We start from the raw sequence: 24895 nt of genomic DNA on the forward strand, positions 1-24895 counted from the left end.
ATCTCCCAAACCCCCATGCAGCCACATTGGCCTTTATGCAGTCCCTCACATGTGCCAAATATGCTTCTACCACAGGGCGCTTTCACTTGCTGTTCCCTCTGCTTGGAGCATTCCACTCACTTCCATCTGTAACAGTCATTTCTTCTCTGCTTTTCCTGACGCTCCAGCCTAAAATCACACCACCCTCCAGTACTTTCCATCCTTTTCCAACCTTTATTTTCTGCCCAGCCCTTTTTACCACCTCACATGATATATATTCACTTATGTGTTTATTCTGTTGACCCTTAAACAATAAGGCACTTGAAGGCAGGGGTTTTATTTTGATCTTCCTGTCTCCCCAGCACCTGAGACAGCAGCTAGTGCACAGTTGGGGCTCAATAAATACTTGCTGAATGAATAAATAAGCAAGCATGTAGAACAAATTGTGAGCTAAACACAAGTGTGTGCATCATAAGGAAACTGGCTTGGTTAGATGGAAGTAGCAAATGATGGTTGGTTATAAAGTTAAAATTTAACACAGCACGCGATTGGAGACACTATTGGAGTTTGTTTGTATGGGGTCAGCTGAGATGCGGAGTAGCAATCTAGGAAGGCAATGAAGAAGGATTCATGGGAAAATTGAGGCTGGTTGAGTCTGAGACACTCCCTCAAGAAAGGCTTAGTACGAAGATCCCAATCATGAATCCTGCAAAACATTTCTCAGCAGGCTGATGTACAGTTGTCCCTCGATCTCCCCAGGTTCCAGGACCCTGCAGACACCAAAATCCATGGATGCTCAAGTCCCTTATATAAACTGACATATCATTTGCATACAAACTACACACATCCTCCCATATGCCTTAAATCCTCTCTAGATTATTTACAATACCTAATACAGTGTAAATGCTATATAAGTACTTGTTATACTGTATTGTTTTTGATTAGCATTATTTTTTATTGTTGTATTCTTATTTTATAAATTTTTAACCTGTGGTGGCTGAATCTGTGGATGCGGAACCTGCAGACACCAGATACCCAGATACCCAGATACCAAGGGCCAACTGTGTACCCTGTGGAATGTGAAACAGCATAACCTTTTTTTGACCGACACTCTTACTTAATATTAGCACCTGGAAGTGTGGTGGCAAGGTAAGTAACCACATTTAAAAACTGGCCTGAACAGTAGCTGCACAGGACCATTTACAAACTGAGCTAGAGCTTTCCACTGGCACATTCCCCTTCCAAGATGGCACCGACTTTGTTATTTTATTTTTTTTAAGAATAAATGACATTTTCATATTCGCAGTGCATCAGTCTCACCGGGGCTCCTCTACTGGCTTAATGGTTGTCATTACAAGGATTCCATCTGCCGACTCACAGCTGAAAGGTGGGCCAACAGGAGGGCCCAGCTGAGCACTTAATAGGTGCATAATACACGTTTCAGAAATTAAAAGTGGCAGAGCCACTTCTGCAAGCAATGACGCTGGTGCCACCTGGTGTGAGGATGAAGCCCCTTCAGGCAGAGGAAGGTTGAAGAATGGAATTTCTCTTTACCAGTGGAGGCTGGTCCCCAGCACACTCATCTGTTTGGGAAAGGTGTCCCAAACCTTTCTCAATCCATCATCTGTTTGGGAAAGGTGTCCCAAACCTTTCTCAATCCATCTCTCTCTCTCTCTCTCTCTCTCTCTCCCCCGCCTCCCCCTGCCCCTTCCTTGCTTCCCCACCCAACTCCCACCCTACTAGGCTTGTACCTGAGTTTCACAGTCCTTGCAGAGAGAATTCGTGGCAGCCTCCCTGTGAGATTCTCCTGGTGAGACTCAGCAGACTTTCTAGGGGAGAAGAGCTGTGATTTTCCTCCAAGTAATTTTGACTATCAGGTCCTCACTGCAGCTTGTTCTGAAAAAGAATAGAGAACAGGCAGCTCTCTGTAGCTGCTATAATTGCAGAGCCAAATGAGAGAAGACAGAGGGAAGGAGGGTGTGAGCAAAAGAAGCGAGAATCATGGGACTTATGCAAACCCCATCCATGCTCAGGAGGGAGCTTCCCTAGAGGAACAGCGGGGACAGCCACTGCGACGACGGTAATGCTTGAGTCTAGTTGGTGATATATGCCACACAGTACTTGCACACTTTTCTGATTTTCCTTTTTTTGTTACTTTTTATTTTTATTTTGAGACAGGGTCTTACTCTGTCACCCAGGCTGGAGTACAGGCTACAGTGCAGTGGTGCGATCTCAGCTCACTACAGCCTCAACCTCCCAGGGTCAGGTGATTCTCCCACCTCAGCTGACCAGGTGGCTGGGACTATATGCCACCACTCCCAGCCAATTTTTTGTATTTTTTGTAGAGACAGAGTTTCGCCATGTTGCCCAGGCTGGTCTCGAACTCCTGGGCTCAGTTAATCTGCCTCAGCCTCCCAAAGCGCTGTGATGGCAGGCATGAGCCACCACACCCAGCCCTGATTTTCCTAAAGCTTTGTGGCTTGATATATCAGTTGAATTATGTTGGTCTAAAAATGAGATGTAGTCAAACTCATGGTTTAAAAAAAAAGTCCTGTTTAAAACCAGATTATTTGGCCAGGCGAGGTGGCTCACTCCTGTAATCCCAGCACTTTGGGAGGCCGAGGCGGGCGGATCATAAGGTCAGGAGATCGAGACCATCCTGGCTAACACGGTAAAACCCCGTCTCTACTAAAAAATACAAAAAATTAGCTGGGCATGGTGGTGGGCGCCTGTAGTCCCAGCTACTCAGGAGGCTGAGGCAGGAGAATGGCGTGAACCCGGGAGGCAGAGCTTGCAGTGAGCCGAGATTGCGCCACTGCACTCCAGCCTAGGTGAGAGCGAGACTCCGTCTCAAAAAACAAAGAAAAGAAAAACCAGATTATTTGATAAAAAACTTTTTCTTCACTTGCAGTAAAGCTAATTTGATAAATTTGTGAATTTCAGCTAGAATTTATAATTTTATCTACTTTACAATAAAAAATACATCTACCCTAAATGACAAATTTGTAGATCATCTCAATTGCCATATATTGCATAACTATTGTGCAGGAATATTGTGAAGGAAGCACTTTTCAGGCCTTTTTTTTTCTAATTTAATTTTCCCAATAACCCTAGAAAGAAGATAGGTATTATTACTAGCTTCTTTTTTTTTTTTTTTTTTTTTTTTTTTTTTGATACAGAGTCTCACTCTGTTGCCCAGGCTGGAGTGCAGTGGCGCAATCTTGGCTGACTGCAGCCTCTGCCTCCCAGGTTCAAGCAATTCTCCTGCCTCAGCCTCCCAAGCAGCTGGGACTACAGATACGCGCCACCATGCCCGGCTGATTTTTTGTATTTAGAGTAGAGACGGGGTTTCACCATGTTGGCCAGGGTGGTCTCGAACTCCTTATCTCAGGTGATCTGCCCGCCTCAGCCTCCCAAAGTGCTGGAATTACAGCCATGAGCCACTGCACCTGGCCTACTATCTCCTTTCTTAAAGAAGAGTAAACTAGGACTTAGGAAGGTGAAATAACGTCCCAAGGTCAAAGGTGAAACCTGGTCAGTCTCCCTCGGAAGCCCAAGTTCTTCTCTTCTCTGCTCTGCTCTCTGCAATGTGTCAGTCATCCCTGCACATGTGAATAACCTGAGGTACTTGTTGAAAACACAGATTCCGAGGCACCAGTCCTGCAGGTTCCAATCCAGCACCCTTGTTCTTGTTGCTGGGAATATGCATTGATGACAAGCAGCAGAGGCTATTCTAAAACAGATGCTGTAGTGCCTCGCTTTGAGAACCAGAGCTCCAGGAACTATTAAACATCCAGTACCTCCTAGTCCAGCCCCCAGAGATTAAATGGCTTCCTCAAGGCTGCTCCGTAACAGAACAGGGCTGGGATCAGAAGGGACCCAGCCGGCCCAGCATTCTTTCCACCACATTCCAGTGGAGAAAAAAATCAAGTTTCTGAGAGAGCTTTGTTCTTCCCCTCATTTTTTCAGTTCTTCAAGCAGCCAAACTCCCCTGGAGCGTCAAACAATATGTTCAAGGCCAGCACGGAAAAATCACACCACTAATTCGAAAAGTCTCAGTGCTTTTTGCCCATGTACTGCCAAAATTGGAAGCAGTGAAAATCATTTAAATATTACTTTTCTTTAATTGTGAGAATATCAGTGTGTGAAAATTGCCATGTGTAACCTTAAGAGTTGTTACAGCTTTCTAAAAAGCAAGCTTGCCTTTTCCAACTGCCATTCAGCAAGTATTGTTTCTCATTTTACACATCCCCATTAAATTCTCAGCACAGTATTAGACCTATACAATATCTAAATGCAGTTCAGAACTGCTTCTTAACATAGATGTAAATGGAAGTCTTATAATTCTATGAGATTATTATAGCTAAATTTACTGTTACACTGCCGTTCTCTGAGTTATTACCCTGAGATTGGTGTTTTACTCTCTGTATTTACCCAGTTTGTGTTGAATGAGCAAACATCAAGATTATTGGCTTAATGCCAAGGTTCAACAAACAATTGTTCCCCTGTTTGTGGGCTTATTTATTTATTTCTGGTTGTTCTCTGCAAGAATCTGTCAAACCAACTCTCTTAAAGGGATACCTAAAATATGCCTGGACTCTGTATTTTGGGGCAACACCATTCATTCATTACTGGTGTTACTGCAAGTGTTGGCAAATGAATTGCAAAAATCTTGATTATGCAAATGTGTTGTCGTGTGTGTGTGTTTTTAATGACAATATTCTGATTCAAATTTCCTTTAGTAATAGCAGTTTTCTTTATCACACAACTGTTCACAGACAGATTTGTGAGCTTCCTAAATGTGCTTGGTACAGTAACTGAGGCAACCTGCCCCAGCAGATTCAGAAGCCAGAAACTTCAGAGACCCCTTATAACTGAGCAACACAATGTATATGAGGGATGAGGGGTGACTGTTTTCAAGTAATGGAATGTTTGGGTTGAAATGTCTGGCAAAGGGATGTGAAGAACCAGAACAACATGGGATTTTAAAATTAGATCTTACACCAGGCGCGGTGGCTCATGCCTATAAGCCCAGCACTTTGGGAGGCCAAGGCAGGATCACCTGAGGTCAGGAGTTCGAGACCAGCCTTGTCAACATGGTGAAATCCTGTCTCTACTAAAATACAAAAATTAGCTGGGTGTGGTGGCGGGCGCCTGTGATCCCAGCTACTTGGGAGGCTGAGGCAGGATAATCACTTGGACAAAGGAGGCGGAGGTTGCAGTGAGCCGAGATAGCGCCACTGCACTCCAGCCTGGGCAACAAGAGCAAAACTCCATCTCAAAAAAAATTTTTAATTTAATTTAAAAATAAAATTTGATCTTGAATTCAAGATGACACTCAAAATGCCACCTGTCTCCTACAAGCTGGTGCCCTCTTGTCTTTTTCCAGAAGCCACAGTGCTCCCTGCAGTACATCTCAGATGCAACACAGTGAAGTGTCGTTCCCACCCTATAGCCCTCCTGTTGAACAGAGTGCTTCAGCGAAGCATGGGAGGGCTTATCAGCTGAATGAAGCCACTTAACATGTTTTAAAGGCCTGGGAATTCTGTTATTTAATGAGATAAATTCCCTTGTGTGGCATTTATACCCTCGGAGTTTTTTGCCCTTCTGAAAGTAGCACAAACTCTTTCTGGCTGCTCGGGTTCCTTGTAGTGATTTAATAAGTTTGTGGGAGTTACTTTATCATTTTAAATCTGGGATCAGCAAACATGTTCCATAAGAGGCTGGATAATAAAGATTTTAGGCTTTGCAGACCATATGATCTCTGCCATAACTACTCAACTCTGCCAGAAAAGCAGCTGTTGGGTGATAATATGTAAACAAATGGGAATGTCTGTGTTCCAATAAAACTTTATTTACAAACACTGACATTTGAATTTCATATAATTTTCACAAATCACTAAATCGTACTCTCCTTCATTTTTTTTTCAGCCACTTAAAACACAAAATCCATTCTTAGCTCATATGTCCTATAAAGACAGAGTGGGCAAGATTTGGTCGGTGGGTTTTCTAGTCTTTGCTTTAGACTAATAGTAGGCTGATAAAGTAGAAATGCCAACATTAGCCACTAGCTGCCCTCATTTACCTAATCCTCAACAAGCACTCAAAATATTAGCTATTATTGTAATAATTAGTCCATTGAGACATGTTTGGGAATGAAAATCAGTACATAATTTTTCTATTTATGGAAAGATGCCAGTAAACTCAGTAAATGTGGTATTGGGATTAGAACTGATTTCTCCATGTGACTTTCTACTTCTTAGAAAAGCTTGGAGTTGGAACTGATATCAGAAAGCTTCCACCGTGGAATCTGAAGCCTCTGGGCTGCCTATGACTCACCCTGCCCTAATACCTTGCCCTAATACGCTATTGCTGAGAGTGCTGCAGGGAGACAAGGCTGCTCTCTGGTTTATCCTGCGTCCCATGTGGGTTCAGTTTCTACCAGAACAGAGAGAAAACCAACTCCTAGGTTGGGTGATGGCAGGCGAGGATTTTCTTTTCTCCTTCACCCTGATCCACTAAATACAAAGATCCTTTCTCTACCAGGGAAGAGAAATAAGCAGCTGGTGTAACATCAGGGCTCCTAGTTGTAATTTTACGCATAATGATCTTCCTAGACTGAAAATTCCTTGATAAAATGAGGCCAGTGTTTCTTTTCTTCATACTTGATTGTCTAATGGACTTTGTCTTGATTCTTCTCCTTCATTTTCCTCCTCACTTCTTTCTCCTGTCTTCCATTTTTCTTTTCTATTTTCTGTTCTTGCAGTAATGATTTAATATTCAGAGGTGTTCTACACCCTTGCTACTCAAAGTCTGGTTGTATTTATTACCTATGGTTTTTTTAGCATAGCTAGTTGAATTGTAAGTTTATATAATTTAATTTTAATAACAGCTGTATTTAACAACTGGGGCCAAATTTCCTGTTAATCAGCTCTCATCAGCCAGTAAAAACTGGCCCTAACAGACCCCCAGAAAAAGGGCATTTTCACACCTTTGGATATGTTAACTTAAAAAACACACACAGTATCTAGAAATGTGGAAAGGAGAGAAAACTTCATTTCTTATAAAGGGTTACAGCCTGCAAGGTGGCCATCCTTCAGGCTGAGAAGCTTGCCTCGTGCAAAGACCAGAGACAGGGGCTTCAAAGGAGTAGGGGTTGGGGTAACAGCTTTATCCTGAACCGGCTGGCTAAACATACATATTCAACAGGTTGTAGGAGGAGCTATGAATATTCATAAAGGTAGTTCGGATGCATATGTATTAAACAAACATGCATGTTAACATATCACCCCATGTTCACTTTGGGGTGATTTAACATTTGAATGTATTACAAGTAAGTCCTATATATCAAAAGGTCTTTTGAGGACATGAAGCATGCAAGTGCATAACCTCTGTCAACTGGCCAGAAACAGTCCATGGTCGCTGGTCTTCTTATCAGGAGAAAGTTACTGAAATTGATCTCTTGTCCAATCAAAGCTGTAGTTAGGGCTGGTGTCGCAGGAGGTCAGTTAGAGCCTGTGAGCTGGATAAGCTGTAATTGTTTCAATATTGCTTATTTCTGGCCAGTGCTTGTTTAGCTGCTAAAGAGAAAGAAAAACTTCATAGCAAGATTAGAACATAGTTTCTTCTTTAAATGTAGAGGTGTATGACTTAACCATTGCCTTAGGTCCTATTTATAATTTGGTATGTTACTGCCACGAAAGTTCTGTCAATCTTCTTTTTTTTTTTTTCTTTTTGAGATGGAGTCTCGCTCTGTCACCCAGGCTGGAGTGCAATGGTGCCATCTCGGTTCACTGCACTCTCCACCTTCCGGGTTCAAGCAATTCTCCCTGCCTCAGCCTCCCAAGTATCTGGGATTACAGACACCCGCCACCACACCCGCTAATTTTTGTAATTTTAGTAGAGACGGTGATTCGCCAGGTTGGCCAGGTTGGTCTTGAACTCCTGACCTAAGGTGATCCACCTGCCTTGGCCTCCCGAAGGGCTGGGATTACAGGCGTGAGCCACCGCCTGTTCTGCCAATCTTCTGGTCTCTATTTTAACATTAATGCTGATCAGTTGTTGTGTCTAAACCAAGGCGGTATAAAAAAAAAAAAAAGGCATGTCTCACCTCTCATTCCGTCATAACCAGGAACTTGGTTTTTAAGTTGTTCTTGGGTCCCCTTGGCTCAGAAGGGGTCTGTTCAGTCTATGGTGGGCTTAGGATTTTATTTTAGTTTACACACTGTAGTCCTAGGATGCTGCAAACAACACCTGCACAACACACTTGGGTACCACCTACTCGTTCTCAGCAAATCTCTGTTCACAGAGAGCCTTAAAAGAAAAAAAAAAAGTTGTGTGCAGTATCTTACCCTTACAGTTATACAAACATCCATTCAACTTGCTCAAGAACATTTTATTGGTGTCCTTTGTGTTGGAATATTCTAATCGAGAATTTCCCCCAGTTTCCAGTTGGGGCATTACATGTGTCTTATGACACCCATGAGTTAATACTATCAGAGCTGTTCCCCCAACACCATTTTAGCTTTGTTTCAACTCTTCATTCAATAAATCTTCAATGTTTCTTGCTCCATAATTATAATACTTTGAGTTGAGTTTCATTTCCTCATCTTTCCTCTTCCTCAATTTTAGTAGAAGGAAAATTGACAGCAATATCCAATAACAGTGAAATGAGTTTAAATGCTGTAAGTAATCAGCTTCCTATCACAGAGCTGAGCATTAGTTTCCTTGGAAGGACCCAGGATTTTTACACCTCTAAGAATCCTCAGTTGTACTTTCCTGGTATTGTGGAGACAGAGAGAAACTGAGTCAGGCCACCTAGTTCCTCATCCTACCTTCATTAACTAGCTTCCCGTTGACCTTGGGAAAGTCACTCAACTTCTGCAAAACTAAAAAAAAAGAGTTGATAGGAGACCTCTAAGATTCCTTTTAGTTCGTTTTAATTCTTTAAAAAAAAATAAAAATTAAGATTAAAAGAAAATATCCGGGAAAGACAAACTTGATCCTCATTGGAGCAGTCTTCCTGGTCTGCCTTTTTGGACGGATAACACCTTGATTTAATTCTCTGCTAGAAATATGCATAGCCATGCTCTTTCCATACAGCCTAACAGCTCGTAAAATGCACCTGCCATTAAAATGATTTGCGTGACCCATTTGGCGGCTGCTGAGCTGTTTATGGTCCTGACTATCTGCTTTTCTTCATCGTGTTGGTTTCTGTTCGTGCGACCGTCTTTCTGAGGTCGCTTTTGTGCCACTGCCTTCTGGTGCTGTCGGGGCCGCCTCCACACCGTCCTCCGGCCCTCAACAGCCGTCTCTGCGACTGGACACCTGCCTCGCATGCCACACGATCACCTTCACTACAGACAGTGTCTAAAAACAAGGATGTGGTCCAGGCACCAGGGGTAGGGGCGTGTCACACACACCGTGTCTTACAAAGAGGAAAAATAAGAGGTTCCCGCAAGATGCTTGCGACTCTGGTACTTTTCAAAGTAACGCAGCCAGGCAGCGGGCTTTCCCCCGGCCCCTCGCTCTGGATAGGGCTGCCATTTGCATCCTAGCTGTGATTTAGACACCTCCAACCTTCTAGTTTTCAGTTACAAGAGTCCCATCTCCGCCCAGGTCCCAGGTCTGCATGACGTAATTTATTGTGGCAACCATTCCTGGCGACTGCCCAGAAACTCAGTGCGTCCTGCCCGGGGTTTAAGCGCGGGAAGTGGGAGAGGCGGGTGGCGCCCGAGCGCAGTAGCAGGGGCGTAGGGCGCAGGGCGCAGGAGCGCGGGACCACCGGCGCCGGAGCGCGGCAGGGAGCGCTCGCGGGGGCGCACAGCAGCCAAGCCCGCGGAGGAGGAGCGCGCGCGCGCAGCATGGGCTGTGGACCTTCCCAACCTGCTGAAGACCGGAGACGTGTACGCGCGCCCAAGAAGGGCTGGAAAGAGGAATTCAAGGTAATAAACAAACAAACAAACAAACAAACAAACAGACAGAAAGCCTTTTGCCTGGGAGGTCTCGCGATTCCCACGCTTGGGGGCGACAAGAGTTGGCTGGAGCAGGGTCGGTCGAGGCTAGTTAACAGGTGGGAGCAACTTTATTCTGCCGGTGTTTAACTGCTGTCTTAACCGGGACTAGACGGATGCATAAATATCAAAATATATCTATCTATATCGATAGAGAGTATAGATACAGATATATGGCTATAAGATCAATTTTGAGAGCCTTTGGTGTTTAAAGAGATTACGAAGGTGGTCACACCCCAGGGCACAGGCAAGGAATAACCGGATGAGCAGCATGTTCTGCACAGAGCTAGTGTTGACCGTGATTCTCGAGGGAAGGTTAGAGTCCGTAGGAACTGCCATATATTATTGGCTTCTGAAAAATAGGCCCTTTGGTCGTTTCTTAAAGCTGGGAGAGATCTCAGAACCTATCTGGTTGCGTCCTCTCGATTCATAGATGAGAATCATGAGGCCCAGAGAGATAGGCGACTTGTCCGAGGCTGCACAGCTAATTTGGGGGCACAGCGAAGGTAGAATTTAGTTTTCAAGAGTTTCGTTCCAATACTCTTTTCCCTAATTCCTCAAAGTTGCATGCACTGTAATTCTTCTAGAGACATTATGGGGAATTTTTTCCAGAGCGAGACCTAGAGGGATGAGTTGGCTGAGCAGAAATGAGGTCCATGATTTCTTTGCATCCTTACCACCCTCCAGATTCCACAGACAGCGCTAGCAACCCTCAAGGGTCCACCTAAGAGGGGTTACACCGAAAGATAAGGCTAACATATAATTTATCATCAAAATTATGCTTTTAAGAGTGAAAGGAAACCCTATTAATACATTTTCCCAAAGACCCTGGCTGAAGCACAGCAAACTGGGACTTATGGCCACCTTTCCGAAGGGTCATTTTTGGAGCTACTGTTCAAAGAGCACACACTTGGTCTCAGCAGGCACTGTGCAAGACACTATTAAGTGCCAGCTGCAGCACCTACTTCATGTGGGGCACATCTCTTGGGCTCTTGGAGTACATTTTGAAACAAGCAAACCAGAATCTAGTGAAGGCTGACTCCACATTTAGTACCTGGTGCCCTGGGGGAAGCCTGTGCCCAAATGGCCACCCATCTTAACACTATTTTCTGCTTTCCATCCTGAAACTGCCACTGTCTCTGTATAGGGACCCATTACCTTTTTTTTTTTTTTTTTTTTTTTGAGACGGAGTCTTGCTCTGTCACCCAGGCTGGAGTGCAATGGCACGATCTCAGCTCACTGCAACCTCCATCCCCCGGGTTCAAGCAATTCTCCTGCCTCAGCCTCCTGAGTAGCTGGGATGACAGGCGTGCGCCACCACGCCCAGCTAATTTTTGTATTTTTATTAGAGACAGAGTTTCTTCATGTTGGTCAGGCTGGTCTCGAACTCCTGACCTCGTGATCCACCCGCCCCAGCCTCCCAAAGTGCTGGGATTACAGGTGTAACTCACCGCACCCTGCTAGGACCCATTACCTTTTATGGGGTATTTCTGCCTCTCCTGACAGGATCCTAACAAGTTTCTCCTCCACACTGCCACCTATCTTGCCAAGGGAAAAATTTCTCTTCGTGTGCAAAACCCTTTAGTTTATAATCTATCCTGTCCCTCTAATGTCATCCTCTTCTCTTGTCTTCTGCCAGTGCCTGTCACTCATGGGCTCTTGGATCTGCTAAACCAAATGACTCTCAGGGCTCAGTTCTTCCAGGCATCTCACACCTCCATGCCTTTACCTGTGCCATTCCCTCTTCCTGAGATGCCCTCCCTGGGACCCTCTCCTATTGGCCTGGTGAACTCATGATCACTTTGGACTAATACGTAGAAATACTTTTTTCTCCCATTTTTCAAAAATACATTAATGTCACTTAAAAGTGCTAATCCATTGTTCTTGTCGCCCTTTTCATACAAAAATCTTTCTTTTATTTTTTATTTATTTTGCTGGCCTGATTACATATAAGACTTCAACAGAAAGAAATGGGTTTCTTTTCTCGCCGTTATCATTTGTTCCATTTCATGGTTACTGCTAAAACTAATTTCGTTGCACAGCATAGGAGGGGATGCTAAAAACCAATCCTCTCCAAGCGTCAAATACAAGATGTCTTCTGGGCCAAGCCATTCCAAGGCCCAGGAGGGTTCCTGGGTTTCTACCTACATTTCTTGGGTAAGATAATTATCACTTCTCGCTTGGATTTTTGTGCAAGTCTCCTAATTGCTCTCCCTGGATCCTTTTTCTACTTCCTGCTACACCTGACCTCCTCCTCTAATCATCCACATGACCTCCAGAAGGATCTTTCTCAAATAAAATCTGATTATCTCAGTCCTCTTTTGAAAAGAAGTCACCAACCCATTAGGTAGGACACATAAACCCATGGTCAAGAGTATGACAAGCTAGGTTTGATTTCTAGATTTATTATTTATTTGTTGTGTGACCTTTTTCAAGTTATTTAACCTCCCTGTGCCCCAGTTTTCTTATTTGTAAAATGAGGGCAGTAATAATACACATAGTGGGGCCTCTCTATCTGTGGGTTCCACATTCAGGGATACAAGAAGCATGGCTGGAAAATATTCTTTTTAAAAAAAAACTGTACTGAACATGTATAGACTTTTTTTTGTTATTGTGCCTTAAACATACAGTACAACAACTATTTACATAGCATTAACATTGTTTTAGGTATTTATGAATAATCTACAGATGTTTAAAGTATACAGAAGGATGTGCATAGATTATATGCAAATACTACACCATTTTCTATAAAGGACTTGAACATCCATGGGTTTTGGTATCCGAGGGAGGTCCTGGAACCAATCCCCCACTAATGCTGGCGATGACTGTACTTATTTTGTAGAGTTGTTGTGAGGGTTAAATAAACTCAGTATAAGTCAAGTGCTCATACCAATGCCTGACGCAGAATAAGTGCATGATGTAAATTATTTCAATTATTATTATAAGATAAAATCCTGGCCGGGTGTGGTGGCTCCTGCCTGTAATCCCAGCACTTTGGGAGGCTGAAGGGGGCGGATCACCTGAGGTCAGGGGTTTGAGACCAACCTGACCAACATGGAGAAACCCTGTCTCTACTAAAAATAAAAAATTAGCCGGGCGTGATGGCACATGCCTGTAATCCCACCTATTTGGGGGGCTGAGGCAGGAGAATAGCTTGAACCTGGGAGGCGGAGATTGCGGGGTGAGCTGAGATCATGCCACTGCACTCCAGCCTGGGCAACAAGAACAAAACCCTGTCTCAAAAAATAAAATAAAATACCTGTAATCCCAGCACTTTGGGAGGCTGAGGCGGGCAGATCACAAGGTCAGGAGATCGAGACCATCCTGGCTAACACGGGGAAACCCCGTCTCTACTAAAAATAGAAAAATTAGCCGGGCGTGATGGCGGGCTTCTGTAGTCCCAGCTACTCCGGAGGCTGAGGCAGGAGAATGGCATGAACCTGGGAGGCGGAACTTGCAGTGAGCCAAGATGGCGCCACTGCACTCCAGCCTGGGCAAAAGAGCCAGACTCTGTCTCAAAAATAAAATAAAAATAAAATCCTAAATCCTTACTTAGCATGCTGTCCTGGCCCATCCTGGAGCTGACCTCTGCTAACTCCTCCAGTCTTGTCTCTCCCCACACTCACACCGTAGACAAACCTTAGGACTTGTTCCCCAGGCCCATTCTGTCCCTAGCTCCATGCCTTTGCACCTACTGTTTCCTCTCTTTCCAGACTTTTCCTTCTCCCTCTCCGGGGTCACATGATAAATGTGTACCCATTTTACAAGACACTCGAGGTCACTCCTCCTGAAGCTCTTCATGACCTCCCATCCCCAACCTCTGCCACCATGCTGGCAGGGTTGATCTTATACCTTCTACTATCATATTTCAAAGCATTTTATTATATGTGTTTGTTTCTATATTTGCCTTTCATCCTGTGCGGTTACCTCCTTGAGGACAGGCACTGTTTTTTAATCTTTGTATCTCCAATTCTTACTACACTGCCTGATACTGATCAGGCACTAATGAATCTTTCTTGAGCAAATGCATGTCCCTCCTGGTTCCAAGATTCCTTAATGTCTTCTTGTCTCCTAGTAGCCTAACTAGACTAATGACAGTCTGCAAGGAGGAAATTCAATTTTAAAATAACCTGAAAATAGACTGAGAGTCGACCTTCTTTCCTAGCCCCAAGCACTTGACTTTGGAAATCTGATCTGGGAAAGGTATGATTATTATTAATTAAACACTCTATAACTATTGGAATAATAATAATTTCTTTCACAGCTTTCATAAATGCATAAGGCTTAGGGTTCAGTAGTTCAGCAGGATCTTTAAAATGAAATGAACGTGTTTGCTTGCATGAAATATTTATGTTTCTTAGTAACATGACTTTAAAATATTCTAAATCAAATTTCTTGAGACCTATATACAGACTTTCCCTTCACTTTTACTTTAGTTTATCGTGGTGAGAAGATACAGTAATAAAATAATGCATAATAATAAGAAAAGCATGGAAAACTTCTTAGTTGGAGAAATGTTTTTCTTCTATGAGAATAACTCAAAATTCCTTGCCTGTTATAAAAGAGGAGAGGCTGGATTGGAATAGATGGTCTCCAAGGACCCTGCACAATTTTTTCCTAATACCTGATAAGAAAATTCTAGTTGATTGTCAGTAAAGGGGAGTAAATTACTTCTTAAAAATCAAATTTTGAAGAAATTCTTCTTATATGTCTATAGACAAATATATTCACAAAATATATCTGCTAATAAATTGACTTAAGAAGGTTTTAACTCAAGGATGCCTTGACAAATTATTCCCTTCAAGCTGTTTGGTAAATATGTTTCCCAAAAGCTATAGAACAAATGTAGTACATCCATACCAAAAAACAAATAAACAAAAACACACAACAAACAAACAACACCTGTCCGTATTTAAAAGCAATACCTTATTTGGAATGCTAATGATTTCTGTGCATAGCTGTTAGCTTATAATTCACAACTTTTAAATTCTACCTAAAATTGATAAAAAAATTTATCCCCAAGACACTGAGGTATAAAAAAAGTTCATAAAATGTAGAAACACACTGAATCCGTACCCCCGAGGAAAAAATAGAACATTCTACTCACCATTCCATCCCCTCCCCAAGTATCATTACCTATATAATATGCAGGTATACTTCTTTTCTTCTTCTTCCTTCTTTCTTCTTTCCTCTTTCTTCTTCTTCTGAGACAGGGTCTCACTCTGTCACCCAAGTTGAAGTGCAGTGGTACAATCACGGCTTTCTGCAGCCTCAACCTCCCCTGGCTCAAGAGATCCTTTCACCTCAGCCTGCTGAGTAGCTGGGAATACAAGTATGAGCCATCATGCCCGGCTAATTTTTGATATTTTGTAGAGATGAGTTTGGCCATGTTGCCAAGGCTTAATGTAGGTATACTTCCTACTGGTGTGAAAATATAAATTCTTCATGTATATGTAGAATAAGAACACTGCTATATCCCTGAGAGGCATAGATCTAATTAACTTATAAGTATGTCTGGTCTTTAAACTATGTCTGTTCTCAAGTCTACACTCATTATGAAATTGGGTTAAAATTTCCAGAATGTGTTACACATGGGTAAGATATTTGAAAGACATTCTGAGTTTTCAAAAGAGAAGAACCTTAAATTTCTGCTCTGGTTTATGTTGTTTCATGATAAAAGACTGTGTTTTGTCTGCTACAATTTAGGTTTTGGTCACCAGCAGAGCTCAAAGGCAGACTGTCTCTAAGTAAGAACAGATGGGTAGAGATCCTTGCTAAGGCCTGGATTCCAAATCCAAGTAGTTATAGTAGCTTTGATAACTCAATTGTGAGGTCACTGAGGTTGTGGTATTTAAATCTATGCCAAGTTGTAATGTACAGAAAGTCTTTGTGAAAAGCCATCGTTTAGACTGAAAATATTCAAATTCGCTCTCAATTCCCGTGGGCATTTTGCTATTGTTGTTGTTGTTACTATCGTTAAATCATTAAATTTTTCCATTTGGAAAAAGCCCAAGAGTCTTTCAAGAGTCTCCACTTGGAAATGTTAAATGACGAAACTGGACCCTGTTTGTAACTCAGTGCTTCTCTAGGATCAAAAAATGATGGATCTGCAAACCAAAATAAACTTGTGAAAATACTTGTCTTACCGTCACTGTAGATATTGGCTTTTAGTAGTTTATTTGGAAAGAAGGAAAACAGTGTTCAACATGACTTACGTGATGTGCATCTTTACCTTTAGCATGAACTGTGAGCATCAGATAGGGTCTCCTTCCTGTTCTTTTTCTTTTTCTTTTTTTTTTTTTTGAGATGGAGATGGAGTCTTGCTGTGGCCCAGACTGGAGTGCAGTGGTGTAATCTCGGCTCACTGCAACCTCCGCCTCTCGAGTTCAAGTGATTCTCCTGCCTCAGCTTCCTGAGTAGCTGGGATTACAGGTGCCTACAGCCACACCCAGCTAATTTTTGTATTTTTATTGGAGATGGGGTTTTGCCATGTTGGCCAGGCTAGTCTCGAATTCCTGACCTCAGGTGATCTGCCTGCCTTGGCCTCCCAATTTCCTTTTCTTTTGTTATATATTTTATATACATATAAAACACACACATATATATAACATATGCACATATGTTACATGTAATATGTTGTATGTAAAGACTCCTTTCTTGGTTCTGCTTACTCTACAGGGACAAGATGGGCAGTAACTGTGTCCATGAAGAAGGACAGATGGACGGAGACAGAGAAAAGCACATCGTTGCTTTTAGGCTTTCTCTTTGTGCCAATTCCCATTTCATATCCACTGAGTTTTTGATGACTTTCTTGTTTGTTTGGTTGGTTTTTCATTATTTCTCATGTAGCCCTGAGACACAGAACTAATTAACCCTCAACACAATGAACTGATATTGGTTTAGCTGGAGTTACCATTTTGCATAAACACAGTGATAAGGAGCTATGTAACTCCCACTACAAGCATGCAAGAATCCCTAACTGAATTATGAAAACCTGATCGTGACAGACACCACCATAACCTAGCCATTGTGATCTCTACTTAGCCTCTGAGGAACTTCAAACGTTAGAGTAATTCCAGAAAGTGGTTAACACATGCTTGTATATATTTTTTAAATTTGTATGACTTTTACTGTGAAAGTACCAAGAGTTTCATGACAAGGCCTTATTTTTAATTCATTTTTCTTAAAGAAAATGTTTCCTGCCTAGAGTCATAATTTTAGAGCCAGAGGACCTCCTGTCTTCAAACTGAAGCTCTGAGAGGTTGCTTCTCACAGTACACTTTCTAATATTTCTGGACCCACTTCTTTCCCCCATTCTTGCTGCCACCATCTTTGCTCATGTTTAATCACTTCTCACCTTGACAACTGCAATAATTGCAACTGATCACCATGTTCTGTTCCTTCCGTCCACTCCTGTCACTTGCAGGAACCCAAAAGTGATTTTTCTAGAAAACCCTCCTGATGATTTTCATTTATTTCCATGGATAAAAATCCTACACAGGATTCCTGTCGCATTCAAAATAGAATCAATCTCCTTTGCTTGTCACAAAATACTTCCCTTTTTCACTTCAGTGCCTTCCACTGTCTACCCCAATCTGTTTCTGCTACACTGGAAGAATTCATGTTCCTGGACACACAATATGATTCCATCTCCCTGTCTTGTGTATGCTTTTCCACCTGCCTAGAATGTCCTTTTCTCCTTGTCCACTGGAAGCTCATTTATCAAGAACCAATTCAGGCATTTTTTTCTTCTTTCATACCTTTTGCTCCCTCCAACAAGATACAAACTTTTATCACAGTACAGCAAGGCTTTGCTGCAGAGAGTGGGAGGTTAGGCATGGCGTCACGTGCCTGTAGTCCTAGCTACTGGAGAGACCAAGGCAGGAGGATTGCTTGAATCCATGCACTTTGACTGTGCCTGTGAATAGCCCCTGCTCCCCAGCCTGGGCAACATATGGAGACCCTGTCTCTAAAAAAAAGAGTGGCAAGTGGAGGGCAGAGTCCTGAGGCCCTTCAAAGACTCGGCAGGAAAGAAAAGTGCCCCTTGGGCCAAAAAGTCAAATCAATAGACATTAAATGAGTCCAGTCGCGGTGGCGCACGTCTGTAATCCCAACACTTTGGGAGGCCGAGGTGGGCAGATCACGAGGTCAAGAATTCGAGACCAGCCTGGCCAACATGGTGAAACCCCGTCTCTACTAAAAATACAAAAATTAGCCGGGCGTGGTGGTGCGCTCCTGTAACCTCAGCTACTCAGAAGGCTGAGGCAGGAGAATCACTTGAACCCGAGAGGCAGAGGTTGCAGTGAGCCGAGATCGCACCACTGCACTCAAGCCTGGGTGACAGAGCAAGACTCTGTCTCAAAAAAATAAAAAATAGACATTAAAAGAATCCTGGGAAGACATTACCGAGTGGAAGATGCACGTGTTCTTTGTGTTCTTATCTCTTCTGGAGACACTGAGGAGACTTCCTGTGGTATGTGTGTCTTAGATGGAGAAGACCTTGATAGCATCCATTGAAATGAGAAGTGGGAAACTTGCAATGAAAGAGGGCCAGCACCTGGAGAGAGAAGACATGGTAGTCAGGGGAGATACGATAAAAGTTTTTCTGAACACATTAGCATTTAAAATTTACTTACTCTAAAAATAAATGACAGTTCTTTAAATTGAATTAATTCAGCTTTGTGAAAAACTCATTACATTGTTCTTGTTTTGCTATGGAACTGTGAAAAATTTAACACGGACCAGCATTTTGTCGTCAGTGGTTTACTAAATCACCTAGAGGCCATTTTTATGCTTTGTTTTGACCTATTTACAAGCAATGGAACTGTGGTTTGAAGAAACAGACTCCCTTGAAAGGAGAAGGTGGGATTATAAATTAGTGCAGTATTTATCGAGGGCCTTCTGGAAACACATATTAATATAAAATGTGCATATCCTTAGACCCAGCATATCCACATCCAGGAATGTATTCTCATGGAATGATTGGATGGGTTCACGGGTTCACAGTGATGTATATTCACAGATATTATTCCAACACAGTTTATAATATTGAAAAGTTAGAAACACCTACATGTCCTTCAGTAGGACTTGGTTAAATACATTGTGGCATAGTTACATAATGAGCTCCAATGCCATCATCAGATAAGTAGCTACTCCTTATCACTAAATAGAGCGAGGTAGACCTATGTATGTTGACATAGGTAAGTGTTTCTTATATATTGTTAAGCAGGTTACAGAAATATAATATAATTTAGTATGTAATTCTTTTTATTATTTTTAAAACAGCTTTATTAAAATATAATTCACATGATTCACCTACTGTCTTAGTCTGTTTGTGCTGCTACAACAGAATACCATGGAAGGGGTAAATTTTAAAATACAGAAATTTCTTTCTCATAGGAAGTCCAAGATCAAGGCAATGGAAGGTTTGATTATCTGGTGAGGGCTGCCCTTCTGTGTCCTCACATGGCAGAAAAGCAGAGCAAGTTAGCTGAAGCTGTGTGAAGCTTCTGTTTATAAACACCTTAATCCCATTAATGAGGGAGTATCCCGCATGGCCTAATCAACTCTCAAAGGTCCTACCTGTTAATATTATCACATTGGTAACACCTGAATTTGAAAGGGACACATTCAAATCATAGCATCCATTTAAAATGTACAATTGACAGCCATTACCACAATGTAATTTTAGAACAATTTTGCCCTCTTCAAAGAAATGGCTACCCATTGATAGTCAATCCTCGTTCCCCCACCCTAAGCAATCAATAAATCTATCTTCTGTTTCTATAAATTTGCCTATTCTCAATATGAATGGCCTTTGTGATTGGCTTTTTTCACTTAGCATAATATTTCCAAGTATCATCTATGTTGCAACGTATGTCAGTGTTTAATTTCTTTTTCTTGCCAAATAATATTCCTTTGGATGACTGTACCACATTTTATTTATACATTCATCATCTGATGGACACTTGGATTATTTCCACTTTTGGGGTATTATAAATAATAATTGTGAATATTTGTGTGCAGTTTTTTTGCAAGAACAGATGTTTTTATTTTGCTTGGGTACATACTTAGGGGTGAAATTTCTGGGCCAGGCATGATGGCTCACGCCTGTAATCCCAGCACTTTGAGAGGCCGAGGCGGGTGGATCACAAGGTCAGCAGATTGAGACCATCCTGGCTAACACGGTGAAACTCCGTCTCTACTAAAAATACAAAAAATTAGCCAGACGTGGTGGCAGGTGCCTGTAGTCCCAGCTACTCAGGAGGCTGAGGCAGGAGAATGGCGTGAACCCGGGAGGCAGAGCTTGCAGTGAGCCGAGATTGCGCCACTGTACTCCAGCCTGGGCGACAGAGGGAGACTCCGTCTCAAAAAAAAAAGAGAAAAAGAAATTTCTGGGTCACATGGTTAACTCTATGTTTAATTTTTGAAGAGCTTTCAAAGTGTTTTCTAAAGAGCTGCACCATTTCACATTTGCCCAGCAATATATGAGGGTTCCAATTTCTCCACATCCTCACCAACACTTGTTATTGTGTGTCGTTTTCATTATAGTTATCCTAGGGTATATGAAGTGGTATCTCACTGTAGTTTTGATTTGCATTCCCCTACTGATTAATAATATTGAACATCTTCTTGTGTGCTTATTGGCCAGTTCCAATTTATTTTTAAAGGTTATGTGAGCAAACACATCTGGGCAATGATATACTAAAATGTTAGTAGTGCTTCTGTCTAGAAGATATAATTTCTTATTTTCTACTGTGTTTCTCTATCAATCAACGTTCTACCAGAGGGAAAGAACCAGTAGGATAGACAGATGGATAGATAGGTAGATAGGTAAATTGTAAGGAATTGGCTGATACAGTCATGAAGGCTGGCTAGGAAAATCAAAATCCATAGGATAGGGCAGGCAGTCGAAAAGAACAGACTGGAGTTGAAGCTGCCGTTCACAGGCAAATCTCCTCTTCCTCAGGAAGACCTCAGTTCTACTCTTGAAGCCTTTCAATTGACTGGATGAGACCTACCCAGATTATCAAGGGTAATCTCCTTTACTTAAAGTCAATTCATTATTTATATTAACCACATCTACAAACTACATTTACAGTAACACCAAGATTTGTGTTTGACAGAATAACTGGCTACTATAGCCTAGCCCAGCTGACACATAAAACTGATCATTGCAATTCTCTTTTATATTATGTAATTATTTTTTACAATAAGTCTGCATCACTTTTTTTTTTTTTTTTTGAGATGGGGTTTCGCCACCTTGCCCAGGCTGGTCTCGAACTCCTGGGCTCCAGAGATCCTCCCTCCCCAGCCTCCCAAAGTTCTGGGGTTACAGGCATGAGCCACCACATCCAGCCTGTATTACTTTTTTAATCAGCAAAAACAATATAGCTTCGTTATTATAAATTGTTTTAATACCATAGTACCTCTACTCTCACACTCAGTGCTGAGCTTGTCTATCTTGGTATCCTCCAGAATGCTCAGCGTAGTAGCTTTTACCTGGTAGATGCCTATTAGATACTATATTAGTTTTCTACTGCTGCTATAGCCAATTCACACAAATTTAGTGGCTTCAAACAGCAGTCACCAACCTTTTTGGCACCAGGGACCAGTTTTGTGGAAGACAGTTTTTCCATGGACTAGGGTTGTGGGGATGGTTTCAGGATGACTCTACAGCATTACATCTATTGTGTACTTTATTTCTATTATTATTACATTGTAATATATAATGAAATAATTATACAACTCATCATAATGTAGAATCAGTGGGAGCCTTGAGCTTGTCTTCCTGCAACTAGACAATCCTATCTAGGGGTGATGGAAAACAGTGACAGATTATCAGGCATTAGATTCTCTTTTTTTTTTTTTTTTGAGACAGAGTTTCACCCTTGTGGCACAAGCTGAAGTGCAGTGGCATGATCTCGGCTCACTGCAACCTCTGCCCCCTGGGTTCAAGCGATTCTCCTGCCTCAGCCTCCCGAGTAGCTCAGATTACAGGCACCCGCCACCATGCCTGGCTAATTTTTTGTATTTTTAGTAGAGATGGGGTTTCACCATGTTGGGCAGGCTGGTCTTGAACTCCTGACCTCAGGTGATCCACCCGCCTCAGCCTCCCAAAGTGCTGGGATTACAGGCGTGAGCCACTGCGCCCGGCCACATTAGATTCTTACAAGGAGTACGCAACCTAGATCCCTCGCATGTGCAGTGCACAATAGGTTTTGTGCTCCTATGAGAATCTAATGTCACTGCTGATCTGACAGGAGGCGGAGCTCTGGGGGTAATGTGAGTGATGAGGAGCAGCTGTAAATAAAGATGAAGCTTCGCTGGCTAGCCCACTCCTCACCTCCCGCTCTGCAGCCCAGTTCCTAACAGGCCACGGACCAGTACTGGTATGTGGCCCAGGGGGTTGGGGACCCCGATCTATGGCTTTCTGGTTACTATACAGCCCACCACAGATACTAGCTGGCTAAATATTCACAAAGCAGACCCTGCAACATTGTTTTTATTTACCAAGAAATCTTGACTCTAACAAAACTGTTCCCTTTTCACAGGCTGATGTCAGTGTGCCTCATACTGGGGAAAATTGCAGCCCCCGGATGGAAGCTGCTCTGACCAAGAATACTGTGGACATTGCAGAAGGCCTGGAACAAGTCCAGATGGGAAGCTTACCTGGAACCATTTCAGAAAATTCTCCATCTCCTAGTGAAAGAAACAGACGAGTAAATTCAGGTAACCTCCCTCTGCCCCCATTCACGTAGATCTTCACAAAATACTGTTTCTCTAAATACGTTTACAAGGTTTCTTTGGTGGTCCTTTTATCATTGCTTTCTGGGCCATGAAGTACATTAAATGGCAGTGTTTTTGTCTCTGAAACATTAGAATTTAGCCTTAGGCCTTCATTATGTGAGTAAATAATGCTAAGCATTAATCTTCTTGTCAATGAAGTAATTAGGACCATCTTTAAAAAAAAAAAAAAAAAAAAAAGAACTAAGAGGCATTATTGGGAATTAAGGCCAGACTTTAGGAATGGGACTTGCACAGTTCAAAGGAATTTAAACTCCCACGATGATAACATCTTTCCAAGGATAAGTTCTACATTTACAAAAATAAATAAAACCTACAATAAACTGTTTTCCCTGTCTTTTCCCATCCAAAGTATCAGCAAATATACAACAAAAGAATCTTTCAGAAATGTGAAAGAGGTAGTTATGATTTACTTGTGCTATTTAGAAACTATTTGTGGGTTTTCCTATGGTGTGTTTTCCCTTGACTTGAGTTACCGCCTGGTGTCCATTTAAGTCATCTTATTTATATTCGGTCAGCCTTTGAAACATATTGAACTTCACAGCCCTCAAGGAAAAGTACTCTTTTTATTTCAGGGGGGAAGACTTTTGCTCCCCATCACTGTTATTTCTTCTCTAGGTACAAGTTGGGATTGGAAAACAGATGGGTTCATACATGTGATTCTATTTCTTGAACTTTCCTGGCACACTCAGGTTATCACAGATTTTCTATTCGCCCTCCCCTTGCTGTAGTCAGCGTGACCTCAGAGAATGACTAGGAGGTTGAGGAATGCAGCACAGGAATGGACTCTCCCTCCCTTCTATGTGTTAGGTTGACAAATACATTTTTTTTCTTTCCAATAATTTTGTTGATGCAACTTCCCTCTAGACAGCAACATGAATGCTAAATATCAGTGTTGGTCACAGACTGCAGAGCGTCAGGCAGACAGGGACCTGGTGACCCAGAACAGTCAGTGCTGCCAGCTGTGTGTACAATGTTAAAGGTGGTATGAAGAGGGTGACAGGTAAGCAGAAGGGTGTTGAGAGAGAACAGCTAGGGAGGAAGTCAGCCACCAAAGCAGATGTTCCTAAAATGCAGCGTCAAGGAGTCCTCAGGAAGCATCTTACCACAGAGTGAGTAGGACCTAGTACCCTGAACTTTCTATTTGTCCTCTGCCCAGTTTTCTCTCTATGTCTCAGCCCTTGGCATCCTCCTTTTTGTGTCTCTGCTCTTCAAATCTGCAGAGTATACCTCTTTTTTTTTTGAGACAGAGTTTTGCTCTGTCACCCAGGCTGGAGTGCAATGGTGCAATCTCCGCTCACTGCAACCTCCGCCTCCCAGGTTCAAGCAGTACTCCTGCCTCAGCCCTCTGAGTAGCTGGGATTACAGGCATGCGCCACCATGTCCAGCTAATTTTTGTATTTTTAATAGAGACGGGGTTTCACCATGTTGGCCAGGCCGGTCTCGAACTCCTGACCTCAAGTGATCCACCTGCCTCAGCCTCCCAAAGTGTTGAGATTACAGGCATGAGTCACTGCACCTGCAGAGTATATTTCTTAAGACTATCAAGTTTCACACTAACATTCCCCAAGTGTTTCCTTGTTTAAAAAACTTTTTATTTTGTATAATTTCAGAGTCAAGAAAAGGTGCAAAAAACAAAGAACACCTATATTATTTCACTCAGATTCCCCAAATGTTAACCTTCTGCCACATTGCATTATCATATCCCCCCTTATGCAAGCAGATTTTTTTCTGTTAATAAGTTACAGACATAATGCCACTTCGCTTTCACATACTCCAGTGTGTATTTCCTAAAAACAAGGATACTCTTTGCATAATCACTATACAAGGATCAAAATTGGGAAATTACCTTTTTTTTGTTTGTTTTTTTTGAGACGGAGTTTTTCTCTTGTTGCCCAGGCTGGAGTGCAATGATGCCATCTCGACTCACTGCAACCTCCGCCTCCTGGGTTCAAGCAATTCTCCTGCCTCCGCCTCCTGAGTAGCTGGGATTACAGGCGCCCACCACCATGCCTGGCTAATTTTTGTATTTTTAGCAGAGATGGGGTTTCATCATATTGGTCAGTCTGGCCTCGAACTCCTGACTTCAGGTGCTC

General features: G+C 42.4%; 1 protein-coding gene and 1 long non-coding RNA gene across 2 annotated transcripts in view; one reads left to right on the top strand and one right to left on the bottom strand.

The window, feature by feature from the left end:
* Window positions 1–300: 300 nt before the first annotated feature.
* Window positions 301–15731, bottom strand: LOC101928463 (uncharacterized). Its single transcript, XR_241983.4, has 3 exons — window positions 15129–15731; window positions 1731–1875; window positions 301–749 (listed from the first exon to the last, which is right to left on the bottom strand). It is a non-coding gene; the product is annotated as an uncharacterized LOC101928463 (long non-coding RNA).
* The window catches only part of STMND1 (stathmin domain containing 1), a 29329-nt gene continuing 14068 nt past the window's right edge, over window positions 9635–24895 (top strand). The window contains exons 1-2 of the mRNA NM_001190766.2: window positions 9635–9923; window positions 22547–22724. Of these exons, the coding sequence (NP_001177695.1) occupies window positions 9843–9923; window positions 22547–22724 (259 nt within the window). The 5' untranslated portion in view covers window positions 9635–9842. The remainder of the gene's footprint in view (window positions 9924–22546; window positions 22725–24895) is intronic.

Source organism: Homo sapiens, chromosome 6 (genome assembly GCF_000001405.40).
Source record: "Homo sapiens chromosome 6, GRCh38.p14 Primary Assembly".
Classification (NCBI taxonomy): Eukaryota; Metazoa; Chordata; class Mammalia; order Primates; family Hominidae; genus Homo; species Homo sapiens.